This window comes from Homo sapiens, chromosome 12 (genome assembly GCF_000001405.40).
Source record: "Homo sapiens chromosome 12, GRCh38.p14 Primary Assembly".
Lineage (NCBI taxonomy): Eukaryota > Metazoa > Chordata > Mammalia > Primates > Hominidae > Homo > Homo sapiens.
The window spans coordinates 95,824,119-95,848,768 of NC_000012.12; the positions used below are offsets into that span (position 1 = coordinate 95,824,119).

The window sequence follows — 24,650 nt, forward strand, 5'->3', positions numbered from 1 at the left end:
TAAAAATAAAAAATAGTTTTCCTTTAACAATCCTACTACAGAATCACAGGAAATTTTAAAATATCAAATATATAGCATCTACCTTCCAATTACACATTCAGATGTTTTCACTCATTGCCATATGTGTTATCATCACATATTAACTGTTATCTTTTATCACTATAATAATTGTCTTTTATTACCAACTATATGCTGAGATGCCAAAAAATAAAACTTACCATGTAAGGTGGATTAAACCCCAACGATCAATTCACAGTGACAGTTTACCTTACGCTAACAACCCTTTATGTAAGATGAGAACAAGAGACAGTGAAGTGGTTTAATGGCTCAGTTTCTGCAGATCAGTGAGAACTGGAAGAGTCATGCTGGTTGACTCTCACCCTATTGGCTAAACAGTGGCTGGGCCAGGGCAGGTTTTCTGGTCCTAATATAAGGCCATGATCCACCTATGAAATGCTCCTGGCTTCAGTTTCCTTATTTGAAAATTAAGCATGAAGTATCATTTCATGAACACATAAATAATATAGACTGGTTTCTGAATATTTGGAAAATACAGACAAACATAAAAGTAAAAGTAATGTATAATCTTATCACCCACAGACAACTATTATTAATATTTTGACATATTTCTCTTTAGAAAGAGGAAAAGAGAAAGGCAGGAAAATACACATATATACAAATTAGGAATGGGCTATAACCAGATGTACAGATGAAATCAGCAAGTAGAATACTTATTATTACTTTAAAAAATAAATTACAACAAGATATGAATGATTTTGAGGGAAATATAAATTACCATAACTGGATCAAGAATAAACAGCAGGAAACCTGAATATATCTATAATTATGAAAAAAAAACCCTGAAATCGTTTGCAGAAATTTTCTTCCATGAGGTAGGTATCATTGCAATTCCCCTTTTACAGAATGGGGAAACTTGAAAGGCTACATATCAAGTCACTGGCAGAGGCAGGACTTATCAGTCATTTCATGATCATAATCACCATTCTCTCTAAGTAGATCTGGCCTCCAACAAGAATAAGCTCATACGACAATAGGGAAGTCATTTAACAATCAGTAACCCAGGACCTACTCTGTGCTAGGTGCTCTTCTGGGTACAAAAAATGCAATGGTGGGCTGGGTGTGGTGGCTTATCCTTGTAATCCCAGCACTTTGGGAGGCCGAGGCAGGCGGATCACGAAGTCAGGAGTTCGAGACCAGCCTCACCAACATGGTGAAACCTCGTCTCCATTAAAAATACAAAAATTAGCCAGGCATAATGGCACTTGCCTATAATGCCAGCTACTCAGGAGGCTGAGGCAGGAGAATCGCTTGAACCCGGGAGGCGGAGGTTGCAGTGAACCGAGATCACACCACTGCACCCCAGCCTGGGTGACAGAGTGAGACCCTGTCTCAAAAAAAAATTTTTTTTAAACATATAAAAACATATAAAATTGTTACATGCAATTTTTGCAGATTTGCAGACCTTCTAAAAGCTCATGCCACCTGACGGGCGCGGTGGCTCACGCCTGTAATCCCAGCACTTTGGGAGGCTGAGGCAGGTGGATCACAAGGTCAGGAATTCAAGGCCAGCCTGGCCAAGATGGTGAAACCCGTCTCTATTAAAAATACAAAAATTAACCAGGTGTAGTGGTGGGCATCTGTAATCCCAGCTACTCGGGAGGCTGAGGCAGAGAATTGCTTGAACCCGGGAGGTGGAGGTTGCAGTGAGCCGAGATCACACCACTGCACTCCAGCCTGGGCGACAGAGCGAGACTCTGTCTCAAAAAAAAAAGAAAAGAAAAGAAAAGAAAAGAAATGCAGTGGTGAATAAGGTATAGTTCCTGTGTTCAAGGAGCTTCTAGTTGAGTCAAGACAAGACAAATAATTCTACAAACTATACAGCAACATGTGAATGGTTACAACAGGTAGAAACAAGTGTTGTCAGAACTCAGAGGAAGAAGTTATGCCATGGGTGACAGAGAAGAGTTCGTATTGAAGGTAGGATTTGGGCCAGCTCTCGAAGGGCAGGTGGGGAAGGGAGAGAAAGGTATTCCATGCAGAGGAAGCAGCATGTGTGAAAGCCACATGCCATAGATAATCTATACGTTCGTTGACTTCTTCACTACTTCTCTCTTTAAAAACAGTGCAAAGGGACATTATGCTGCATTTGACCAAAGGCAGTCATTCTTGGCAGCATCCTTTCGTTCTTCCATCATGACAAAACTGCTGTTAGGTCACATTAAAATAGTAGCAATCTTTGGCAGAAACCTACTGTATGCTTCCTTAATGAGTTGTCAGAGGTTCTGTAGTGCCATTTGTCTTCTAAGCTAGTTTTTTATGAAGGCTGTCAGTAAAGGGTAAAGATGGGGATATGCAATATATTCACCAGTCAGCAGGGGGTTGAGAATCTGTTCATTCAGAATCAGCAGGGGACTGTGGGAAAATGTCTATTCTTTAAGCATGCCTCTGAAGGACTACAATTCAAAAGAGGGGGTGAGGTTTGTAAGAGGCTAAGAAAGTCTTCCTCTAATGTAAACTTCCAGGAGTCTCTGCAGGCCCTCTCCTTATAGACAGGGAATGAAATAAAGCCTAGCAGACTTTCTACCATCAGAATGATCTTAATTTTGACAACTCAACAAAACTTAATTCAGAGATCAACAGATGAATCTGATACTATCCAGAAGGTCATGTGTATGGGTAATTAAGTTGACAGTCACAGATATCAAAATAATTCCCACTCAGGCTGCAACTTATGAATTTCACTGTCTTACTGAGGCTATGAACTATATGTAGCATTAAGAATTGAGGTGTTTGTTTTGTTTTGTTGTTTGTTTCTTCCTGAAGTTCTTACAGTTTGGGTTAGAAGAGCTAAGGAGTAAAGTTTGGAAGCAGACAGATCCTGGCTCTGTGACTTATTCTTTGTGAAACCTTGAGCAAGTTACTTAGGAATTCTAGCTAATAATACCTGTTTTACGGAGTGGCTGTAAGGATTAAATGAGATAATGAATGTAAAGCATTGGCACAGAAGTGCTCAATAAATGGCAATCATCATGATGAATATTACTTTTCTGTATATCCAAGAGCAGTCTAGACTTTCTCCAGAACAGAATATGTACCTATAGGGAGATGAAAACTTTTATTAAATATAAATAATTATGGATAAATGAATAATAAGTAAAATATTTTATACCAGCATATTTTATCTTCTGTACTATCCATAATAATCTAGCCTGCTTTCTATAATCAGGTCATCAGGCAGAAAGCGGAACCAGTTTTTGTTCATCTTCTTAATCTATCACACTTCTACTTGCTCTACTCTACTTTGAAATCAAGGTATAAGTATTAGCATGCTTGCAAAACCTCATTTTACAGTGTATGGTTTTAAAATAATTATATTGCACCATCTCACATCCTCAACATATGTGGGAAACTGCTGAAAGCTTTACCTACAAAAAGACTTCATTGTTACTTAAACTGAAAAGCTAGCCTGCCCTTTATTTTGACTATTTATATAAACTATTTGTATAATTGAAAGCATAGTCACGAATCAAAGGATATTCTTTATTTTAATCTTCATTCTTTCTAGTTATTAATTTAAACTATAAGAAAATAATACCATCTTGGCCAGGCGCAGTGGCTCACGCCTGTAATCCCAGCACTTTGGGAGGCCAAGATGGGTGGATCACTTGAGGTCAGGAGTTCGAGACCAACCTGGTCAACATGGTGAAACCCCGTCTCTACTAAAAATACAAAAATTAGCCAGGCATGGTGGTGGGTGCCTGTTATCCAGCTACTAGAGAGGCTGAGGCACGAGAATCACTGGAACCCAGGAGGCGGAGGTTGCAGTGAGCCGAGATCACACCACTGCACTCCAGCCTGGGTGACAGAGTAAGACTCTGTCAAAAAGAGAAAGAGAGAAAGAGAGGAAGGAAGGAAGGAAGGAAGGAAGGAAGGACGGAAGGAAGGAAGGAAGGAAGGAAGGAAGGAAGGAAGGAAATAATACTATCTTAAAGTTGGAAAGATCCCTAAGATTATCTCTCAATCCCTGAATTTGACTAATGCAAAACTAAGGCCTGGATAGGTCAAGGGACTTATGCAAATATCAATGGAACCAAGTTTAATATTTTAAAATTTTTGTCTTCTCTATTGCAGCAGCCATACCTAATATATCCTTATAATTGCTAGAAATAAATAATGGAAGTAATTTTGCATGGAATAAACCTGACTTTTTCTATCTTAATTGGTTGTCACATCTAAGGACAAATATCAGCTATTTGGAACATGGTGAATGACGTTATGAATAACATTAAGTGCCTCATTTCTTAAGATAATAATGGATCACATTATTCTATAATGCATGAAAAAATGTTCTCTAGTGCCTTGAAAGCTAAAGTACTACTCAGGATTCTTCATTTTGGGCATTGGATAGAATTGGATGCGGAATCATATCTGGCTTTGGGAAATCTCATGTTACCTTGCATGCAATTAATATATCTCTCAAATATTTGCCTATATTGTCTTGTTCACTGTAACTACAGCATATACTGGTACAACAAGATGAAAGAAAATAATAATTCTTAACAGAAGATACTCTTTCTGTATGAGAGTAACACAGAATTGCTATTTTTCTGCAAGTCAGTTGATGTCACTCTATAAAACATGCAGTAATTACGATAAACACTAAAATAAACTTCTTAACCTTATACTTCAGCAATTTTTTAGCCATACACATTCAGTCATGCATGTAAAGCTGTCATTTCCAATCTAGACTATTTCTGATTAGTCTTAGCTCTTCTGCAGCAATGCCAATCAAAGTAATTATGTTATCACTGTTCTGGCAATTAAATGCTCTATTTGTTTACTACTGAAAGCACAATTGATCTGGTACATAGTTAAGTTACAAATAGTTCTGTGTCTGATATTAATGAATGCCCATAATGCATTTTTCCCAAGTTATTTCTTCAAAGTTAAAATGGCACAACTTACAATAGAAATTCTTCCCCTTGAAATCAATGGTTCTCAACTGTGGATGACTTCGCCTCCCAGGGGACATTTGGCAATGTCCAGAGACATTTTTGATTTTCAGGATGGGGTGGGGGTGGGAGAAGGTGGAGATGCTATTGGCGTCTAAGGAGTAGAGGCCAAGGATGCTGCTAAACACCCTACAGTGCACAGGACAGACCCTACCACCACTCCAACAAGAAGAATTATTCAGTCCAAAATGTCAATAGTTAAAAAGTTCTGGAGGCAGATGGTGGTGATGGTTGCACAATAATGTCACTAATTAATGTTACTGAACTGTATACTTAAAATGATTAAAATGGTAAGTTTATATTATGTATATTTTTACCACAATAAAAAAATCAATAGTGCTGAGATTGTGAGCTTTAAACCATTGAGAGTTCTTGTGTAATGAAAGTATTTCAGTACTGCTAGGGAAACCAAAATGTACTCTGTACCTGGTAAAATGCCATTCATAAAGCAAACAACTTTACTTTTTTCTTGTAAATCACATTTTGTTTTCCTTGACTGGCTTCCAAATTTCTTTCAGGCACTAGTCAATGATCCTAAACAATAGTTTCCTTCCCTGAATGCATACATAAATGAAAACAAAAACTATAATTAGGGTCTTTTTTCTTTGGCTGAAGCTAGTTTGACTTAGGTTTCTGTTATATACAACCAAAACTCTTGACAAGTAGAAGCAGCAGCAAAGAAATGTGGACAAACAAATTTTGTTTCACAGAAAATAAGAAAACTTAAAACTCACATGGGTTGCAACGGAAAGGAAAGAACAAAACAGTAAGAAGCAATGTGCTCCTAATAACACTGAAGAGGGCAGGAAAGACATTGTATTAGTCAGGGTTCTCTAAAAGGACAGAACTAATAGGATAGATGTATATTTAAAGGGGAGTTTATTAAGGAGTATGAACTCACACAATCACAAGGTGAGGTCCCACAATAGGCCGTCTGCAAGCTGAGGAGCAAGGAAGCCAGTCCGAGTCCCAAAGCTGAAGACAATGTTTGAGGGCAGGAAGCATCCAGCATGGGAGAAAGATGCAGGCTGGAGGACTAAGCTAGATCTAGTCTTTCCATGTTTCTCTGGCTGCACTGGCTGCTGATAGATGGAGCCCACCCAGATTGAGGGTGGGTCTGCCTTTCCCAGTCCAATAACTCAAAAGTTAATCTCCTTTGGCAACACCCTCACAGACACACCCAGGAACAATAGTTTGCATCCTTCAATCCAATCAAGTTGACACTCGATATTAACCATCACAGATGTATTTACTTTTTCTGGTTCTAGTCACAAAGAAAGATGCAAGTGCACACTCAACAATGCTCCACAAATAAGATCTATCTAGTGCTACCTCATCCTAGGCTTCTTCAGATCCACCATCTCCCTACTTTACAATAATCCTACTTGTGTCCACAGTTAGAGCCAGCAATAATTAGTCACTTCACTGAAGTAGTTTAACTTTCTGTTTTTGTCAGTAGCTTTTCATCCTCAGTTTAGTCAATGGTAATTAAAATACTTCCACTGGAACCACACATATGATTAATAACTCTTACTGAAGCTGAATTAGAGCACATCATCCAACCACCACCCTTCAAAAGTTTGGATATTAATACAAAAGAAAATGAAGCTCTAAAATTGGAATGCAATGATTAAAATCAACGGTTCCTTCTCACTTATAGCCACATCATAAAAATAAGTATTTTGCACAACTTTTACTAAAATTACCTTTTCTTAGTTCTGCAATGACAAATTGAAAAAAAAAGGAGGTTGTCAATCTGTCAAAACAAGAGTTTTTAGTCATCTGTGTAGAAAAATCCTTGTCACAACACTGTAAGAATTTTAATACACAAAAGAGATAGGGAGAAGAATATATAGTAAAATATTTTAATGACATCAGGTATAGAAAAATTTAAAGAAAACAAAAAGTAGAAACTATAAAAGAAAATTAAGGCATCAAAAACATTAAAATTAAAACTTTCTGTATGGCAGAGACCCTACTGCCTTAGTCTGGGACAGTGTTTCTCAGAAGCACACAGGTAGCACCTGAGGAGCTTTGAAAAGTACTGATCCTAGGTTACACCTCCCCAAATTCTGGTTTTAATTGGTTGAAGGTACAGCCAAGGTACCTAGAGTTTTAAAAGCTCCCCAAGTGAGTCCAATGTACAGCCAATGTTGAGAACCATTAGTCTAGGAAAAGAAAGTTATAATAATCTACAAGGTATTTTTATCCAGAATTATAAAGTCTTATAGGTCAATGAGAAAAATTCAAAGAACCCAATATAAAAATGAGCAATATTTGAATAGGCAATCAACTGAAGAGAAAACTCAGACCGATAAACAAACACAACAATACTCAATTTTCTAGTAGTCAGGAAAATAAAAAAATCCAAATTACAACAAGATACCAATTCACACTAAGCAGATTGGCAAAATTAAAACATTTGTAAGTACCAAGGACTGGTAAGGGTATCAAACAACAAGAACTCTCAAAGGTGCTGGTGGGAGTATAAACTGGTACAACCCTATGACAGTTAATTTTTTTTTTGAGATGGAGTCTCGCTCTGTCACCCAGGCTGGAGTGCAGTGGCATGATATCGGTTCACTGCAACCCCCGCCTCCCAGGTTCAAGTGATTCTCCTGCCTCAACCTCCCGAGAAGCTGGGATTATAGGTGCCCACCACTACACCTGGCTAATTTTTGGAATTTTGGTAGAGATGAGTTTTTGCCATGTCAGCAAGGCTGGTCTCAAACTCCTGACCTCAAGAGATCCACTCGCCTCAGCCTCCCAAAATGCTGGGATTACAGGCATGAGCCATTGTGCCAGCCATTATAGGTAATTTTATGTGTCGGCTTCGTTAGGCTGAGGTGCCCAGTTGTTTGGTCAAATATGAGTCTAAATGTTATTGCAAATGTATTTTTTTAGATGTGATTAACATTTAAATCAATAGATATTGAGTAAAGTCAATTACCCTCCATAATGTGGGTGGGCCTCTTCCAATCAGTTGAAGGGCTTAGGAGAAAAGACTCAATAAAGAATAATTTTGCCTCAAGACTCCAACATCAAAGCTCTGCCTGAGTTTCCCATTTGCTGGACCGCCCTGCAGGTTTCAAACTCAAGACTACAACAACAACTCTTACCTGAATCTCCAGCCTGCTGGCCCACCCCACCATGCCCACAATCATGTTAGCCAATTCTATAAAATAAATCTATATCTGATTTACATCTATATACATATCCATACCCATATCTCTATATCTCTATCCTCTTGATTCTGTTTCTCTGGAGAACCCCAATTAATATAAACTAACTTTAAAGAACAATTCAGCAATATCTAGAAAAGTTGAAGATGGGTATAGTCAATTTCAACTCCAGGTATATAGCCTGTAGTCCTCAAAGAGACAGGTGAGAAATGGGATGTAGATGTGGGACTTCTATATCTTTTTTAAAAGTTGAGGGTAAGGGGGCAAAGCAAATACGGCAAAATGTTACAGCGTTTTAAATCAGGGATGGAGTATGTTTTACATTGTCATACTATTTTTGGCATTTTTGTGCAGTTTGAAATACTCCATAATTTAAATGAAAGCAATCAAGCAACTTGTGTTAAACATGGTGGTGATGGAAGTGGCCCCAACCAGTAAGCCAAACCCTAAATAAGGTCGAAGTGACGGAGAGCAGACCCAGCAGAGGGCAGGGATGGGATAGGAATGGATTTCAGGGGAAAGCGAGTAGCACTCAAGAGAGCCCCAAGACTTCTCAAAGTCTCTTCATAAACAAAAATTTCCTTTGACTTCTAAGATAGTTAGCTCATCATTAACTGCCCAGGGAAAGAATAGAAATCTGGCAGATGACATGATACCCTGAGGACATCACCGATAACACTAACCTTCATGACTCGGTTAAGGCAATGGCTTCCAGGTTTCTCCACTGTCAAGTTACTGTCTTCCTCTTTTCCTGGGGAAAAAGATCATATTTAAAAATAATTTATTGAAAATAATTAAATAAATGAACTTGCTATCCAATCAGAAGAACACTTGGATGAGTATTGCCTTACAGTGGGTTTTATCAGAAGTTGAAAGAAGATGGCACCCAGCAAGAAAAACTATACAAGGAATGGAGTGGGATGAAGGTAGAAAAAAAATAAGCAAACGATGTTGCCCATTTTCCTTCTGTTCATTGCTTTTCTACTCCCCCTTCCTTTCTTGGTCTTGAAAGTCTTTTTTTCTTCCTTTTGTTAACTGGCTCCTGCTAGGTCCAAGTATAAAGGAACCATGTCTCTATTTGTTAATCATTGTATTCCCAGAGCTTATAGTAGCCAGTGATAAATGGGTACTTACTGAAGAATGGAAAAGAAAGAGGAGAGAAGCGATAGAAATAGAAAGAAGAAACAGTAAGATAAAAGATGGGAGAAAGGAAGGAGCTTACTGATCATACCAGGTTATTAATATATTCCTTAACATTTATTTTATTTATGTTCCATGAACTCAATAATATTAAGCTATATTGATTTAGGATAGTTTCTCTAAGTTTTTTTTTCTAAAATTAGATTGTTTTCTTACTTGATGTTACCCTATATTTATATTTTTTTCTATTGAGCATTGCCCTGAATAAATAGAAGGTTTACTGTCAATTTCAACCTAAAGCAATTAATTTTGAATGGTAAATTTTCTAGCTTTCTAGGAAATGAATGGAAGATACCATTTCTGGTAAGCAAAACTTTTGGCTACCCTCAAAATGTGTATTATTTTATATTAGATCACGATATTCTTCTTTGTCCCTATGTTGGCCCCTTCTCTGGTGATGAACCAGTAGGAAAATTATCAAAATAAAAACCATAAAAACCATGTTAATATATTTACTGAATCATAAGACCTCCAGATTGAAAGAAACCTTCAGAATCTTTTTACCCATCAGACACTTGCATCACCTCTACATCCCAATAAGTGTTTTCTCCTTAAAATGGTCAAGGGAATATATATATATATTCCTCTATATATATACTGTTCATATTTATCAAGGATATATTCCTCTCTAAGTAGGACCTGGCCTGACCAAAATACTTCAAAGGTAATCTGACTGGTACACAATCTAGTAGGATTACCAATCCCTTTTTTTACTTATTCATTAAAAATAGAATTATTGCATATGATGTACATGGCATTTGTTTAGGCACTGGATATCCAGCAGTGAATTAAAAAGCCAATTCTTTCATACATATCAAGGAAGAGAAATGGAGGAATATATATATATATATATATATATATATACACACACACACACACACACACACACACACACACACATATACATATATACATACATATGTATGTGTGTGTATATATATATAGAGAGAGAGAGAGGAAGCCTATTCAATTCTTATGCACCTCTAAATGCGAACAAGCTCTTTCTTAGGCTGAGCAAAAGTCAACAATTTCCATCCTTTGGCACAGGTTATAAGCCCAAATATTTTTCATATGAAAGGCTTTTTAATGTTTTAAGAGAGTTGAATATTTTAAGATAGACAAGCTTTCCTATCCCTAACTCCCTTCTCTTTTCCAAACCAAACAATTAGAGTTTCTTCAATCATTCTGCCCAGGACACACTTAAAGACCACTTGTCAGTGTGTCAATATTCCTCTCCAGGTAGGGCCTGGCCTGACCGGAATACTTCAAAGGTGATCTGACTGGTACATAATCTAGCAGGACTACCAATCCCTTTGTTTTACTTATTCATTAAAAACAGAATTATTGTTTATGATGTACATGGCATTTGCTTAGGCACTGGATATTCAGCAATGAATTAAAAAGCCAATTCCTGACCTGGTAGACCTAACAGTTTAGTGAAGGCAAACAGATAATAATTAAAATAAATAATAAATTGGCCAGGTGCTGTGGCTCATGCCTGTAATCCCAGCACTTTGGAAGTCCAAGGTGGGTGGATCACCTGAGGTCAGGAATTTGAGAATGGCCTGGTCAACATGGTGAAACCCCATCTGTACTAAAAATACAAAAAATATTAGCCAGGTGTGGTGGTGCACACCTGTAATCCCAGCTACTCCAGAGGCTGAGGCAGGAGAATTGCTTGAACCCTGGAGGTGGAGGTTGCAGTGAGGCGAGATGGTGCCACTGCACTCCAGCCTGGGTGACAGAGAGACTCCGTCTCAAAAAATAATAATTATTATAATAAATAAATATATTATAGGATACATGAATAGGAAATAAGCTTTACAGAAAAAATGCAGCAAGGAGGCTCTAGTTTGGGGAAGGAGGATGCTGAATGACTTGTGATAGCCTCTCGAGATGCATTCTTTGTCCTTCTCTGCCTTGCTCTGTCACAGGAGGTTAATCTATGGACTCTATCAGTGGAATCCCTTGCCCTCTGACTTCCAGCCCTTTAATTTGGGAATACCTTAAAAGCCTTAATTAAACATATCCTATGATCAAACAATCTTATTTTTAAGACTTTACCCTAAGAACACAATCAAAGAGGTACACACAAATAAATACTGATAAGGATGTTCACGGCGCCATTACAATTACAAAAAAGTCATAACCAGGTTGAGCGTCCAACAATGGGTTAAATAAATGATGGTAGAACATGAGATGCAATATCATGCAGCTATTAAAAATCTTGTTGTAAAATAATATATATTGACATGTGAAAATGTTCATGATATATTGCTAAGTGAGAAGAAGAGTAAAGAGTGGCAATGATGAGTATCAGGTGATATAACTAGAACTCGCAGGCTTTTGTTTCTATTGCAACTATACATTTTGATGATATCAAGGATGCCTTTTAAAAGTCAGAAAATATTCTTTGCAAATTCCTAATGATTTCTTCTGCATTCTATTTTTCTGGGATTTTTAAATTTTTTACTTTAAGTTCTGGGATACATGTGCAGTGCATTCTTGTTTACACAAGTAACTTTCTTAGCAAGATTTTCTTTTCAGAGAACAATGATAAATTCAGCTCTAATGGAATTCCCATAAAGTCCAAATTAGTCAAGTTTATATGAATGCAGATTTATTATAATCCAGAATGAAATGATTAAGAACAGAATATCCTCTTTTCCCCACAAATGGACCACAAATATATCAAATTATCTATGAAAACATGATCTTCTTTGATCTCATACAAATTCCTATTATTTGTCATGGAGTAAGGCCTTACTCAGTATTTGCTCATGTATTATTTAATTAAAATGACTCATGAAACAAGTGTGTCATTATGCTGGCTTGCCTATTGTCCATATTCACATACTTGAGTGTATCCTTATTCTTGCCTGGAAAAGGCATATGCTGCCTTGGGCATCATTCCAGTTAATCTCTTCAAACGATTTATGAATGAGCATTCGTGAATGTAATTAAGTAGCAAACAGACTTTGAACAGCAGTAGGGAAACAATCTTGAATTCTTCACTCTGAAACTACTTCAAACGTTATGTCCAAATAAAAAGAGGATCTTCACTACCTATTTCATCCCGTCTGCTCAGGGAAGGCTAAATATCTGTCCTGTTCCTATTTGGATAGGTGAAGATACTTGGTTTAAAATCCACATTCTATACATTTCCTCTCCCCATCTCATCTCACTTTCATCTTCTTGCCCAGCAGGAGAGAGTTAACTCAGCCAGAAATGTGGGTAAATACTGGAAACTTACTCAGATGCAGAAGGGACTGTGGCTCAAGATGTTATAATGTCCAGAAAGCAGGGAATGTGTTGGCTTGAGTTAATGCCAGCTTCCTTGTTTACTGGTGAAGTGTGCTTAAAAGATAAGTCTTTGGAGTGTAAGTGTGTGCAACCTGAGAATGAAAGAGAGAGAGCAGAGAGGGAGGAGATGGAGAGGAGAGGGAGGAGAGAGGGAAAGAGGGAGAGAGGGAGGAGAGAGGGAAAGAGGGAGAGAGGGAGGAGAGAGGGAAAGAGGGAGAGAGGGAGGAGACGGGGAGAGAGGGAGGAGAGAGAGGGGGAGGGTGGAGAGAGGGAGGAGAGAGAGAAAGAGGGAGAGAAGGGTGAGGGAGGGAGAGAGGGATGAGGGAGGGAGAGAGGGAGGAGAGAGGGAAAGAGGGATAGATGCAGGAGAGAGAGAGGGAGAGAGGGAGGAGAGAGACAAGGAGAGAGGGAAAGAGGAAGAAACGGAGAGGGAGAGAGGGAGGAGGGAGAGAGGGAGAGAGGGAGGAGAGAGGGAGGAGAGAGGGTGGAGAGAGGGAGGAGAGAGAGAAAGAGGGAGAGAGGGATGAGAGCAGGAGAGAGAAACGAGAGAGGGAAAGATGGAGAGAGGGAGGAGAGGGAGAGAGGGCGGAGAGGGAGAGAGGGCGGAGAGGGAGGAGAGAAGGTGGAGAGAGGGAGGAGAGAGAGAGGGATGAGAGAGGGAGGGAAGAGAGATGGAGAGAGGGAGGGAGGAGAGAGGGAGGGAGGAGAAAGGGAGAGATGTGAGAGGGAGGAGAGAGGGAGAGAGGGAGAGAGAGATGAGGGAGGAGAGAGGGAGAGAGGGAGAGGTTCAGTGGCTCAGGCTTGTAATCCCAGCACTTTGGGAGGTTGAGGCAAGAGGATTCCTTAAGCCAAGGAGTTCAAGACCAGCCTAGGCAATGTAATGAGACCCTGTCTTAATAAAACATTTTAAAATGTGTGTGATGGGTGTAGTTCCAGCTACTTGGGAGACTGAGATGGGAGGATCACTTGCGCCCGGGAGCTTGAGGCTGCAGTAAGCTGTGATCACACCCCTGCTCTCTAGCCTGTGCGACAGAGTGGGACACTGTCTTAAAACAAAGGGCGGCGGTGAGGGGGGAGGAGGTTTGAGGAAAAGACCATATGATACATTATGGTCAACTTTTGCAAGATTCTGAAATTCTGCTGGATGATTTTGATTATAACAGAATGATTAATATTAATTGTGTATATAGCCCTGTTAGCGGTGGAGAATCCATATCCATCTGGGTCTGCAGCAACCTCAATTCTTGCCTCCTCAGAAGAAACAATTTGACTGAGGGGCAGAAGGAGAGACCAAGACAAGTTTTAGAGCAGGCGTGAAAGTTTATTCAAAAGCTTTAGAGCAGGAAGGAAAGGAAGGAAAGTACACTTGAAAGAGGGCCAAGCGGGCGATTTGAAAGACCAGCACGGTTTGAACTTTTGACTTGGGGTTTTATACCTTGGCAGGCTTCCGAGGTCTTGCGTTGCTTCTCCTGCTCATCCAACGCTGAGATCTGATCCGGAAGCTGCTGATCACCAGTTTCAGCTGTTTTCTATCTGGTACGAGACTGTCTTTCCCTAGTGCCAGCTGTGACCAATTATTACTGTAGAGAAACAGTTAACAACCGCCTGACCTCACAGGATGGCCTCCCGACACACCTGGTGTGTGAGTAGTGGGGGAGCCCTCTCCTTCCCTGCTCACACCTGACTATAGCACAAGATATTGTTTAGATTATTATTATTCTAATATTACCAATGCTAACTTTAAAAATGAATACATTTCCACCACCTCTTAAAGGAAAGATTCACTGGCTAATCTCCTCAGATAAATATATTCTTTTTTTTTTTTTTTTTTTTTTTTTGAGATGGAGTCTTGCTCTATCACCCAGGCTGGAGTGCAGTGGCACGATCATGGCTCACTGCAAACTCTGCCTCCTGGGTTCAAGCCATTCTCCTGCCTCAGCCTCCCCAGTAGCTGGGATTATAGGCATGCATCACCATGCCCAGCTAATTTTTGTATTTTTAGTAGAGATGGGGTTTCACCATGTTGGCCAGGCTGGTCTCAAACTCCTGACCTCGTTATCCGCCTGCCTCGGCCTCCCAAAGTGTTGGGATTACAGGTGTGAGCCACTGCACCTGGCCAGATGAATATATTCTTGAATGAACATTTACATGTTTAAATTAGTGTGTATGCAAGTGACTTCAGGGTCATGGTGACCATATTCTGTAAATCCATCGTATGGAACATAATTGTGAACGAATAGTTATGGGCATAAGCATTCATAAATGTTAAAGACCTAACGCTAACTGAGTTAAAAAATAATCTCTCTATTATCAAGGGCACACTTTCTAATGGCAAAATTTTTTAAAATGAAAAACCCGGGAAATTATAAAGAAAATTTAACCATCCCAAATCCCATAACCTAAACATAACAACTAATAACATTTTGGTGTTTATTTTTAGTCTGTTTTTCTAGACACATATATTCAAATGTCCATATTTTGACATTATTAATATTTATTTACATATTTTGATGTCTTATATTTTCCCATGTCATTAGAATCTTTGTAAATATTATTTTAAATTATGGCATTACTTTTTTTTTTTTTTTTTGAGGTGGAGTTTCGCTCTTGTTGCCCAGGCTGGAGTAAAATTGTGTGATCTAGGCTCACTGCAACCTCTGCCTCTCAGGTTCAAGAGATTCTCCTGCCTCAGCCTCCTGAGTAGCTGGGATTACAGGTGCCCACCACCATGCCCAGCTAATTTTTTTGTACTTTTAGTAGAGACAGGGTTTCATCATGTTGGCCAGGCTAGTCTTGAACTCCTGGCCACAGGTGATCCACTCACCTCAGCCTCCCAAAGTGCTGGGATTACAGGTGTGAGCCATGGTGCCCAGCCTGTATTAAATTTTATCATATGAAAATATTGTTGCCAATTGAAGTATTATTTAGCCACTTCACTAGTATTGACCATGAACGTCTTTATACATGTCCACAGTTTTTTTTTTTTTTTTTTTTTTTTTTTTATTTTTTATTTTTTATTTTTATTGATCATTCTTGGGTGTTTCTCGCAGAGGGGGATTTGGCAGGGTCATAGGACAATAGTGGAGGGAAGGTCAGCAGATAAACAAGTGAACAAAGGTCTCTGGTTTTCCTAGGCAGAGGACCCTGCGGCCTTCCGCAGTGTTTGTGTCCCTGGGTACTTAAGATTAGGGAGTGGTGATGACTCTTAACGAGCATGCTGCCTTCAAGCATCTGTTTAACAAAGCACATCTTGCACCGCCCTTAATCCATTTAACCCTGAGTGGACACAGCACATGTTTCAGAGAGCACAGGGTTGGGGATAAGGTCACAGATCAACAGGATCCCAAGGCAGAAGAATTTTTCTTAGTACAGAACAAAATGAAAAGTCTCCCATGTCTACTTCTATCCACACAGACCCCGCAACCATCCGATTTCTCAATTTTTTCCCCACCCTTCCCGCCTTTCTATTCCACAAAACCGCCATTGTCATCATGGCCCATCCCCAATGAGCCGCTGGGCACACCTCCCAGACGGGGTCGTGGCCGGGCAGAGGGGCTCCTCACTTCCCAGTAGGGGCGGCCCGGCAGAAGTGCCCCTCACCTCCCAGATGGGGCGGCTGGCCGGGAGGGGGGCTGACCCCCCCACCGCCCTCCCGGACGGGGCGGCTGGCCAGGCAGAGGGGCTCCTCACTTCCCAGTAGGGGCGGCCGGGCAGAGGCGCCCCTCACCTCCTGGATAGGGCGGCTGGCCGGGCGGGGGGCTGTTCCCCCCACCTCCCTCCCGGACGGGGCGGCTGGCCGGGCAGAGGGGTCCTCACTTCCCAGTAGGGGCGGCCGGGCCGAGGCGCCCCTCACCTCCCGGACGGGGCGGCTGGCCAGGCAGGGGGCTGATCCCCCCACCTCCCTCCCGGACGGGGCGGCTGGCCGGGCGGGGGGCTGACCCCCCCCACCTCCCTCCCGGACGGGGCGGCTGGCCGGGCAGAGGGGTCCTCACTTCCCAGTAGGGGCGGCCGGGCAGAGGCGCCCCTCACCTCCCGGACGGGGCGGCTGGCCAGGCAGGGGGCTGATCCCCCCACCTCCCTCCCGGACGGGGCGGCTGGCCGGGCGGGGGGCTGACCCCCCCCACCTCCCTCCCGGACGGGGCGGCTGGCCGGGCAGGGGGCTGACCCCCCCCCCCCTCCCGGACGGGGCGGCTGGCCGGGCGGGGGGCTGACCCCCCCACCTCCCTCCCGGATGGGGCGGCTGGCCAGGCGGGGGGCTGACCCCCCGACCTCCCTCCTGGGCGGGGCGGCTGGCCGGGCAGAGGGGCTCCTCACTTCCCAGTAGGGGCGGCCGGGCAGAGGCGCCCCTCACCTCCCGGACGGGGCGGCTGGCCAGGCGGGGGGCTGACCCCCCACCTCCCTCCCGGACTGGGCGGCTGGCCGGGCGGGGGGTTGACCCCCCCACCTCCCTCCTGGACGGGGCGACTGGCCGGGCAGAGGGGCTCCTCACTTCCCAGTAGGGGCGGCCGGGCAGAGGAGCCCCTCACCTCCCGGCCGGGGCGGCTGGCCGACCCCCCCCCCCCCGCCTCCCTCCCGGACGGGGCGGCTGGCCGGGCAGAGGGGCTCCTCACTTCCCAGTAGGGGCGGCCGGGCAGAGGAGCCCCTCACCTCCCGGACGGGGCGGCTGGCCGGGCGGGGGGCTGACCCCCCCCACCTCCCTCCCGGACGGGGTGGCTGCCGGGCGGAGACGCTCCTCACTTCCCAGACGGGGTGGTTGCCAGACGGAGGGGCTCCTCACTTCTCAGACGGGGCGGTTGCCAGGCAGAGGGTTTCCTCACTTCTCAGACGGAGCGGCCGGGCAGAGACACTCCTCACCTCCCAGACAGGGTTGCGGCCCAGCAGAGGCGCTCCTCACATCCCAGACAGGGCGGTGGGGCAGAGGTGCTCCCCACATCTCAGACGATGGGCGGCCGGGCAGAGACGCTCCTCACTTCCTAGATGGGATGGCGGCGGGGAAGAGGCGCTTCTCGCTTCCTAGATGGGATGGCGGCCGGGCAGAGACGCTCCTCACTTTCCACACTGGGCAGCCAGGCAGAGGGGCTCCTCATATCCCAGACGATGGGTGGCCAAGCAGAGACGCTCCTCACTTCCCAGACGGGGTGGCGGCCGGGCAGAGGCTGCAATCTCGGCTCTTTGGGAGGCCAAGGCAGGCGGCTGGGAGGTGGTTGTAGCGAGCCGAGATCACGCCACTGCACTCCAGCCTGGGCACCATTGAGCACTGAGTGAACGAGACTCCATCTGCAATCCCGGCACCTCGGGAGGCCGAGGCTGGCGGATCACTCGCGGTTAGGAGCTGGAGACCAGCCCGGCCAACACAGCGAAACCCCATCTCCACCAAAAAAAAACGAAAACCAGTCAGGCGTGGCGGCGCGCGCCTGCAATCGCAGGCACTCGGCAGGCTGAGGCAGGAGAATCAGGCAGGGAGGTTGCAGTGAGCCGAGATGGCAGCAGTACCGTCCAGCTTTGGCTCGGCATGAGAGGGAGAGGGAGACGGGAAAGGGAGAGGGAGACGGGAGAGGGAGAGGGAGACGGGAGAGGGAGAGGGAGACGGGAGAGGGAGAGGGAGACGGGAGAGGGAGAGGGAGACGGGAGAGGGAGAGGGAGACGGGAGAGGGAGAGGGAGACGGGAGAGGGAGAGGGAGACGGGAGAGGGAGAGGGAGACGGGAGAGCTGATCCACAGTTTTAAAATAGAAGAAACTGGCCAGATGCGGTGACTTGTGCCTGCAATCCCAGCACTTTGGGACTCTGAGGCAAGCAGATCACGTGAGCCTAGTAGTCCGGGACCAACCTGGCCAACATGGCAAAACTCCGTCTCTACAAAAAATACAAAAATTAGCTGGGTGTGGTGGCTGTGCCTGTAGTTTCAGTTACTTGGAACGCTGAGGTAGAAGGATCACCTGAGCCTGGGAGTTTGAGGCTGGAGTGAGCCGTGATAGTGCACTGCAATCCAGCCTGGGTGACAGAGTGAGGCTCTGTCTCAAAATAAAATAAAATATTGCTTCTTGGCTTTTTGGCTAAGATCAAGTGTAAAATAAAATAAAATACTAGAAGAAATGAAGATATAGGGAGGCTAAATACCTTGTACAAGATGGTAAAGCGTGAACTCGTTTGTTTGGAAGCTATTTTTCAATATATAGAATAACAGATGCTAAAGATAAAAGAAGTCACCAAGTTCAACCTTTGTATTTTTTTCAGTTGAGGAAACTGAGACCCAATGAGGTAAAGGTGACCTGTTCAAGGACTCAAAGAGTCTAATGACTGAATGAATACTAGAGCCCCAGTCCCTTGGGTGCTATTTTACATATTTTTCTTCAAAGTGTAAATCACTACCTAATATTATTTTTGTTATTCATTGACTTATGTATCAACACTCCCTTGCACAGACCCTCAGCTCCTTAGTCTCTAGCGCCAGAGTTGTCTATACTTACCTTCTTCACTTCTCCCTATGTTTCCACCTAAATCCATGTCAATCAAGCTTTCAATCCTACTACCTCACTGGGTGCTCTTGTAAAGATCATCAGTGACCCCCACATGGCCTACTCTAGTGGACAGAATGAGTTTTCATCTGTCTTGATTTTTTTTTTTTTTTTGAGTCAGGGTCTCGTTCTGTCTCCCAGGCTGGAGTGCAGTGGCATGGTCTTGGCTCACTGCAACCTCCGCTTCCCAGGCAATTCTCGCACCTCAGCCTCCCAAGTAGCTAGGATTACAGGCGTGTGCCACCACGCCCAGCTAATTTTTGTATTTTTAGTAGAGATGGTTTCGCCATGTTTCCCAGGCTGGTCTTGAAATCCTGACCTCAAGTGATCCGCCCACCTTGGCCTCCCAAAGCACTGGTTAACAGCAGCCTTTGATGCAATGGATCACTTTCTCTTCTTACAGTACTGTCTTCACTTGGTTTCTAGTACACTACTCTCTTGGTTTCTTCCTAACTGTTGGGTCCACTTACTACACCTCTAAACATGGAAGTATTTCCAGGTTCAATCCTTGACTATCTTTTTAAATTAGTAATCATCAGCCCCATCAGACCCAATGCCTATCTTCTACAAGAAGTATTTTTTCAATACAAAAATTAGCCAGGCGTGGTAGCATACACCTGTAGTCCCAGCTACTAGGGAGACTGAGGCAGGAGAATTGCTTGAACTGGGGAGGCGGAGGTTGCAGTGAGCCAAGATCATGCCATTGCACTCCAGCCTGGGCAACAAAGCAAGACTCTGTCTCAAAAAAAAGTATTTTTTTTCATGCTGCCTTTAAAGGGGCTTGCCATCTACAGTTACACAGGTGGTAGATGGGGGGCAAATTCTAGGTGCACTTTGTTGCCTAGTCATGCACCCTGACAGGGGGCTACATCAACCCCAAAGAAGGGGTGCCTTTTCCTAATTCCTCCACTCAGAGGGGGCCTCTTATTTGTACAGAGGCACCTTATATGCTAGCAGCAGTTCTGTTCTGTACTATCAAGTGAAATTCATACAGAATACAACCTACGTACACATGTAATTTTAAAATAAATATAATGCCTAAACTGTAGCATCAAGCAGAGATAAATGTAAAATAATTGATCATAAAAATATGCAAACGCTCAAGTACTTTTACACTAGAAAACCTCACAAAGTAGTCAACTGTTTGAACCTGTAAACAGAGCCATGGATGTTATCTTGGTGATTCAAGTGCAGCTTGCAGCATTGTCAATACTTTTCTGAAATAGTGAAAACTGTTAGTAAAACTCTAAACAAAAGCAAGCATAGTCTTCTCTGAATTTACATGATAATTGTATTTTTGAAAAATGCAGTGTTAAGAGCAAAAAAAATTATGTTAAAAAGTATAAGATAATTATAAACAGGTTTTTCACCTGAAATCCCTGGAATATAAGAAGTATAAGTATTAGCTGTTGTTACCTTGTTTAACCCTGTTAATAATATTTAACCCATTTTAAAAATTATTTATTTATTTATTTATTTTTGAGATAGAGTCTCACTCTATGTGACTCACTCTGTCACCCAGGCTGGAGTACAGTGGCGTGATCTCGGCTCACAACCTCTGCCTCCCGGGTTCAAGCAGTTCTTCTTCCTCAGCCTCCCAAGGAGCTGGGATTACAGGCATGTGCCACCACACCTGGCTAATTTTTGTATTTTTGTAGAGATGGGGTTTCACCATGTTGTCCAGGCTGGTCTCAAACTCGTGACCTCAAGTCATCTGCCTGCCTCAGCCTCCCAAAGTGTTGGGATTACAGGCATGTGCCATGCACCAGGCCAATTTAACCCATTTTATGATAAGGAAATAGACAACATCCAGTAGACCCTCTGGCAATAGAGATCAATGGTTGCCTACCCCAAACAGCCTACTGGTGTTAGAACCCCTGATTCTCAGCAGGGCATAGGGCCACTGGGACTGTAAGAATCCTTTTCCATCCTCCCTTGCAGCCAGTGTGGCCGTGTGACCAGGTTCTGGTCAACATGCTATGAGGAAAAGAATTGTGCAGCCACTTCCAGAAAATTTCCTTTAAAGATAGCTGGTGCTTGCCCTTTTTTCCCTCCTTCCTCCATTTAACCCTTCGACTACGTATGTGGTAGTTAGAGCTCCATCTGGGATGATGAAGATGAGGGTCATAGCCTAAGAGGGCAGATCAAAAGCTAGGGGCAGTCAGGGTCTCTGAAGATTTCAAGCAGCAAAGCGTCACCCCAGTATTGAACTATTCACCTTTACAAAAGAGGTCAATAAACTTTCTTTTTGTTAGGCACTTCTTGTGTTACTACAGAGATATATCTGAGGCTGGGTAATTTATAAGAAAAGATGTTTAATTGGCTCACAGTTCTGCAGGCTGTACAAAAAGCATAGCGCCGGCATCAGCTTCTGGGGAGGCCTCAGGAAGCTTCCAACCATGGCAAAAGGCAAAGAGGGAATGGCGGCGTCTCACATGGCAGGAAGGGGAGCAAGAGAGAGAGGACCTGGAGGTGCCACACACTTTTAAACAACCAGATCTCGCAGGAACTCACTCAATATCATGAGGACAGCATCAAGCCATAAAGGATCTGCCCTCGTGACCCAAACACCTCTCACTAAGCCCCATCTCCAACTTTGGGGATTACATTTCAGCATAAGATTTAGGGGGACATATATCCAAACTGTATGATTCAACTGGTTTAAATCATCCTTAATTTGGGTCTTTGTTAATCATAGCTGAGCATAATCCCAACCTAATTACCCTCTATAAATTATAGTTCCTTTCCTCAATCCTAACTAAGTCTCCTTCCATAAATAACAGCTCCCTCTCTCATCCTTAATCTTTTTGCTTTAATTTGCCTTAAAATCTACCAGTCTATCCTGTTTACTTTACTTCAGTAAGACTTTAATATACTGATAAATAATAGGTTCTTTCCTAAGAGTTAATCACCATATTTATGAACTTCTCTTAAAATATTGACTATATGATTTTTTATAAGAGATTTTTTTTTACCTTCAGTCACACACTTCTCAAATGATTTTTCTAGCATTGTGTATTTTATTAGATCAATTTGTGATATAATTCCTTTGCTCTTATTTCGGCCACCCATGAAATAGAAGAGATAGAATAGAAATGGAAGGCTAGGCATGGTGGCTCATGCTTGTAATCCTAGCACTTTGGAAGCCAAGGCAGGCGGATCATCTGAGGTCAGGAGTTCGAGACCAGCCTAGCCAACATGTTGAAACCCTGTCTCAACTAAAAATACAAAAATTAGCCAGGTGTGGTGATGCATGACTGTAATCCCAGCTACCTGGGAGGCTGAGGCAGGAGAATCTCTTGAACCCAGGAGGCAAAGTTTGCAGTGAGCTGAAATCGCACCATTGCAGTCCAGCCTGGGCAACAGAGCAAGACTCTGTCTCAAAAAAAAAAAAAAAAAAAGAAATGGAAAGAGAAAAGGAAACTGGAAAAGAATAAGAAGAATAGCCCTTCCTCACAATTTTCACATTAAAATAGTATCACATAATAAAGCTTGACTAAATTTTTTTTTTATTTACTTGGAATACTGGTATACTGAAACAATTGGAGGGTGTCCAGAAAAAATTAAAATTCTTTCCCTCTATATTTTTTCTTTTGTATTAGTTTTTATTATAAACATCAGTTTAAAGGGGATTTATAGTTTGCTTCTGTCTATCCTTCATTTCTGAATAATCCTGTCTAAAAGTATGAGGTGGGGCTGAGCAAAGTGGGAATGGGGAGGTCAGCGCGCTCTGGAGTGGTGGCCCAGTTCATGCTGTTAGAGTCAGGCAAGGCTGTCTTGCTGGGTTGGGTGGGAGGGGGGATGGTAGTGGTGATGGAAGTTTGGTTACATGGAGGGGATTGATCAGATAAGTAAACAAATTGAGGATGAAGGGAGACAGTTTTCTAACTGTTGGGGAAGGGACTACAAATATGGAAACTGAAAAAACTAAAATAAGCCATGTGGTGTTGAACTGGAATTTTCAATAGCGATATTGAAACAAGTATGGATATGGTCATATATGCATGCATGTATGTATGTATACACATGCATACGTTCTCTAGTTTTGTCCAGTGAGAGGGACTGGAAGCACCAACACCCCCCTACCAAGGAGCGTGCCTATTGTCTAGACCAATCTTTAGTTTCCTAAATGCCATTCTCCACTAAAACGAAGCAGTGTTTTTTGGAGAATTGACTGATTCCAGGTTTGGGACAGGGAACATCTTATTGGGACAGAAAATAAGGAAATGCTCAAAGAATGAGGATGACATGTCAAAAGAACACAGAAGACAGCTTAATGGGGGATCCCCCTGTCCAAATATGTGACAATTAAGGCAGAGAAATAACAATAGTAACAGATTATAAATTCATGTAATAAAATAGAAATTCATGAGTCCTTAAAATAAAGAGCATCAAAATAAGTAATCATGACATGATTAACCCACTAAATAAAATAGAATCTATGAGTCCATACTGATATAAATAAGTGGGAAAAGGAGAAAGCTTTTCTTACAGTGGAATGCCAACTGATGCATGGAGAAGAAATGATGGAGTCAGAAAATCACCATTTGGCAGCCAGCATAAGTAACTGATTTAGCTCAGAAATACAGTGGATGCTAATATGCAGTAGGTGAAAGTTTGAGGAGGAATGAGATAACTACATAGCCTCAAAGTACCTTCACAAAATACTTCTTAATAATACAATTTTAAAAGGTAACTTTGCAATGAAGAAACCTGGCAGATAGTTCCCTAATCAAGAAGTTAAGGCTAATAGCACAAGTAATGGAGCCAATAGAATATATAGGCTATCTAGGGCCGGGCGCGGTGGCTCATGCCTGTAATCCCAGCACTTTGGGAAGCCGAGGCGGGTGGATCACAAGGTCAGGAGATCGAGCCCATCCTGGCGAACACGGTGAAACCCCGTCTCTACTAAAAATACAAAAAAAGTTAGCCGGGCGCAGTGGCGGGCGCCTGTAGTCCCAGCTACTCGGGAGGCTGATGCAGGAGAATGCTCTACTGTTCAGTATATTCCATTCTTTTGAGTAAGAAGGGTGGACACCCTGATTCCACCCCCCTTTTTTTTGGCATATATATATATATGTTTGAATTGGTGCAAATTTTTAAAGTCCAAGTCTCTCAAGTCAGTTATTCATTAATTTATTCATTCCAGAAATTTGCCATTATGTGCCAGGGAACTAATTATGTGCTAGTAAATGACTAGTAATAGCAACAAAGGGTTAATGAATAAAATACCTTTTTCTCTAAAAGAGAGTGTAGTTAGTGCTAAAACAGGTGGGGTAGAGCCCATGTGACAGAACAATTAGTTACCTAGGGAAGTCAGAGAAAGCTTCAGATATGAAGTGCCCATTTGAGTGGGGCCATGGAGATTAGATGAGGAGGCATTTTTCAGGCAAAGCAAATGGGGAGGGATTTCTAG

The 24,650-nt window shown here is 42.8% G+C and overlaps 1 long non-coding RNA gene across 1 annotated transcript in view, besides 1 other annotated feature; it reads right to left on the reverse strand.

Moving 5' to 3' along the window:
• SNRPF-DT (SNRPF divergent transcript) overlaps window positions 1–24,650 on the reverse strand; it is a 63,495-nt gene that overhangs the window by 28,774 nt on the left and 10,071 nt on the right. Inside the window, exon 2 of the long non-coding RNA NR_135014.1 lies at window positions 8,899–8,966. This is a non-coding gene — a long non-coding RNA (SNRPF divergent transcript). The remainder of the gene's footprint in view (window positions 1–8,898; window positions 8,967–24,650) is intronic.
• Window positions 14,200–14,400: a silencer, noted in NCBI's record as "peak1901 fragment used in MPRA reporter construct". NCBI's record gives its function as "represses an SCP1 promoter by STARR-seq MPRAs in K562 erythroleukemia cells {active_cell/tissue: K562}" and the evidence as "EXISTENCE:reporter gene assay evidence [ECO:0000049][PMID:32103011]".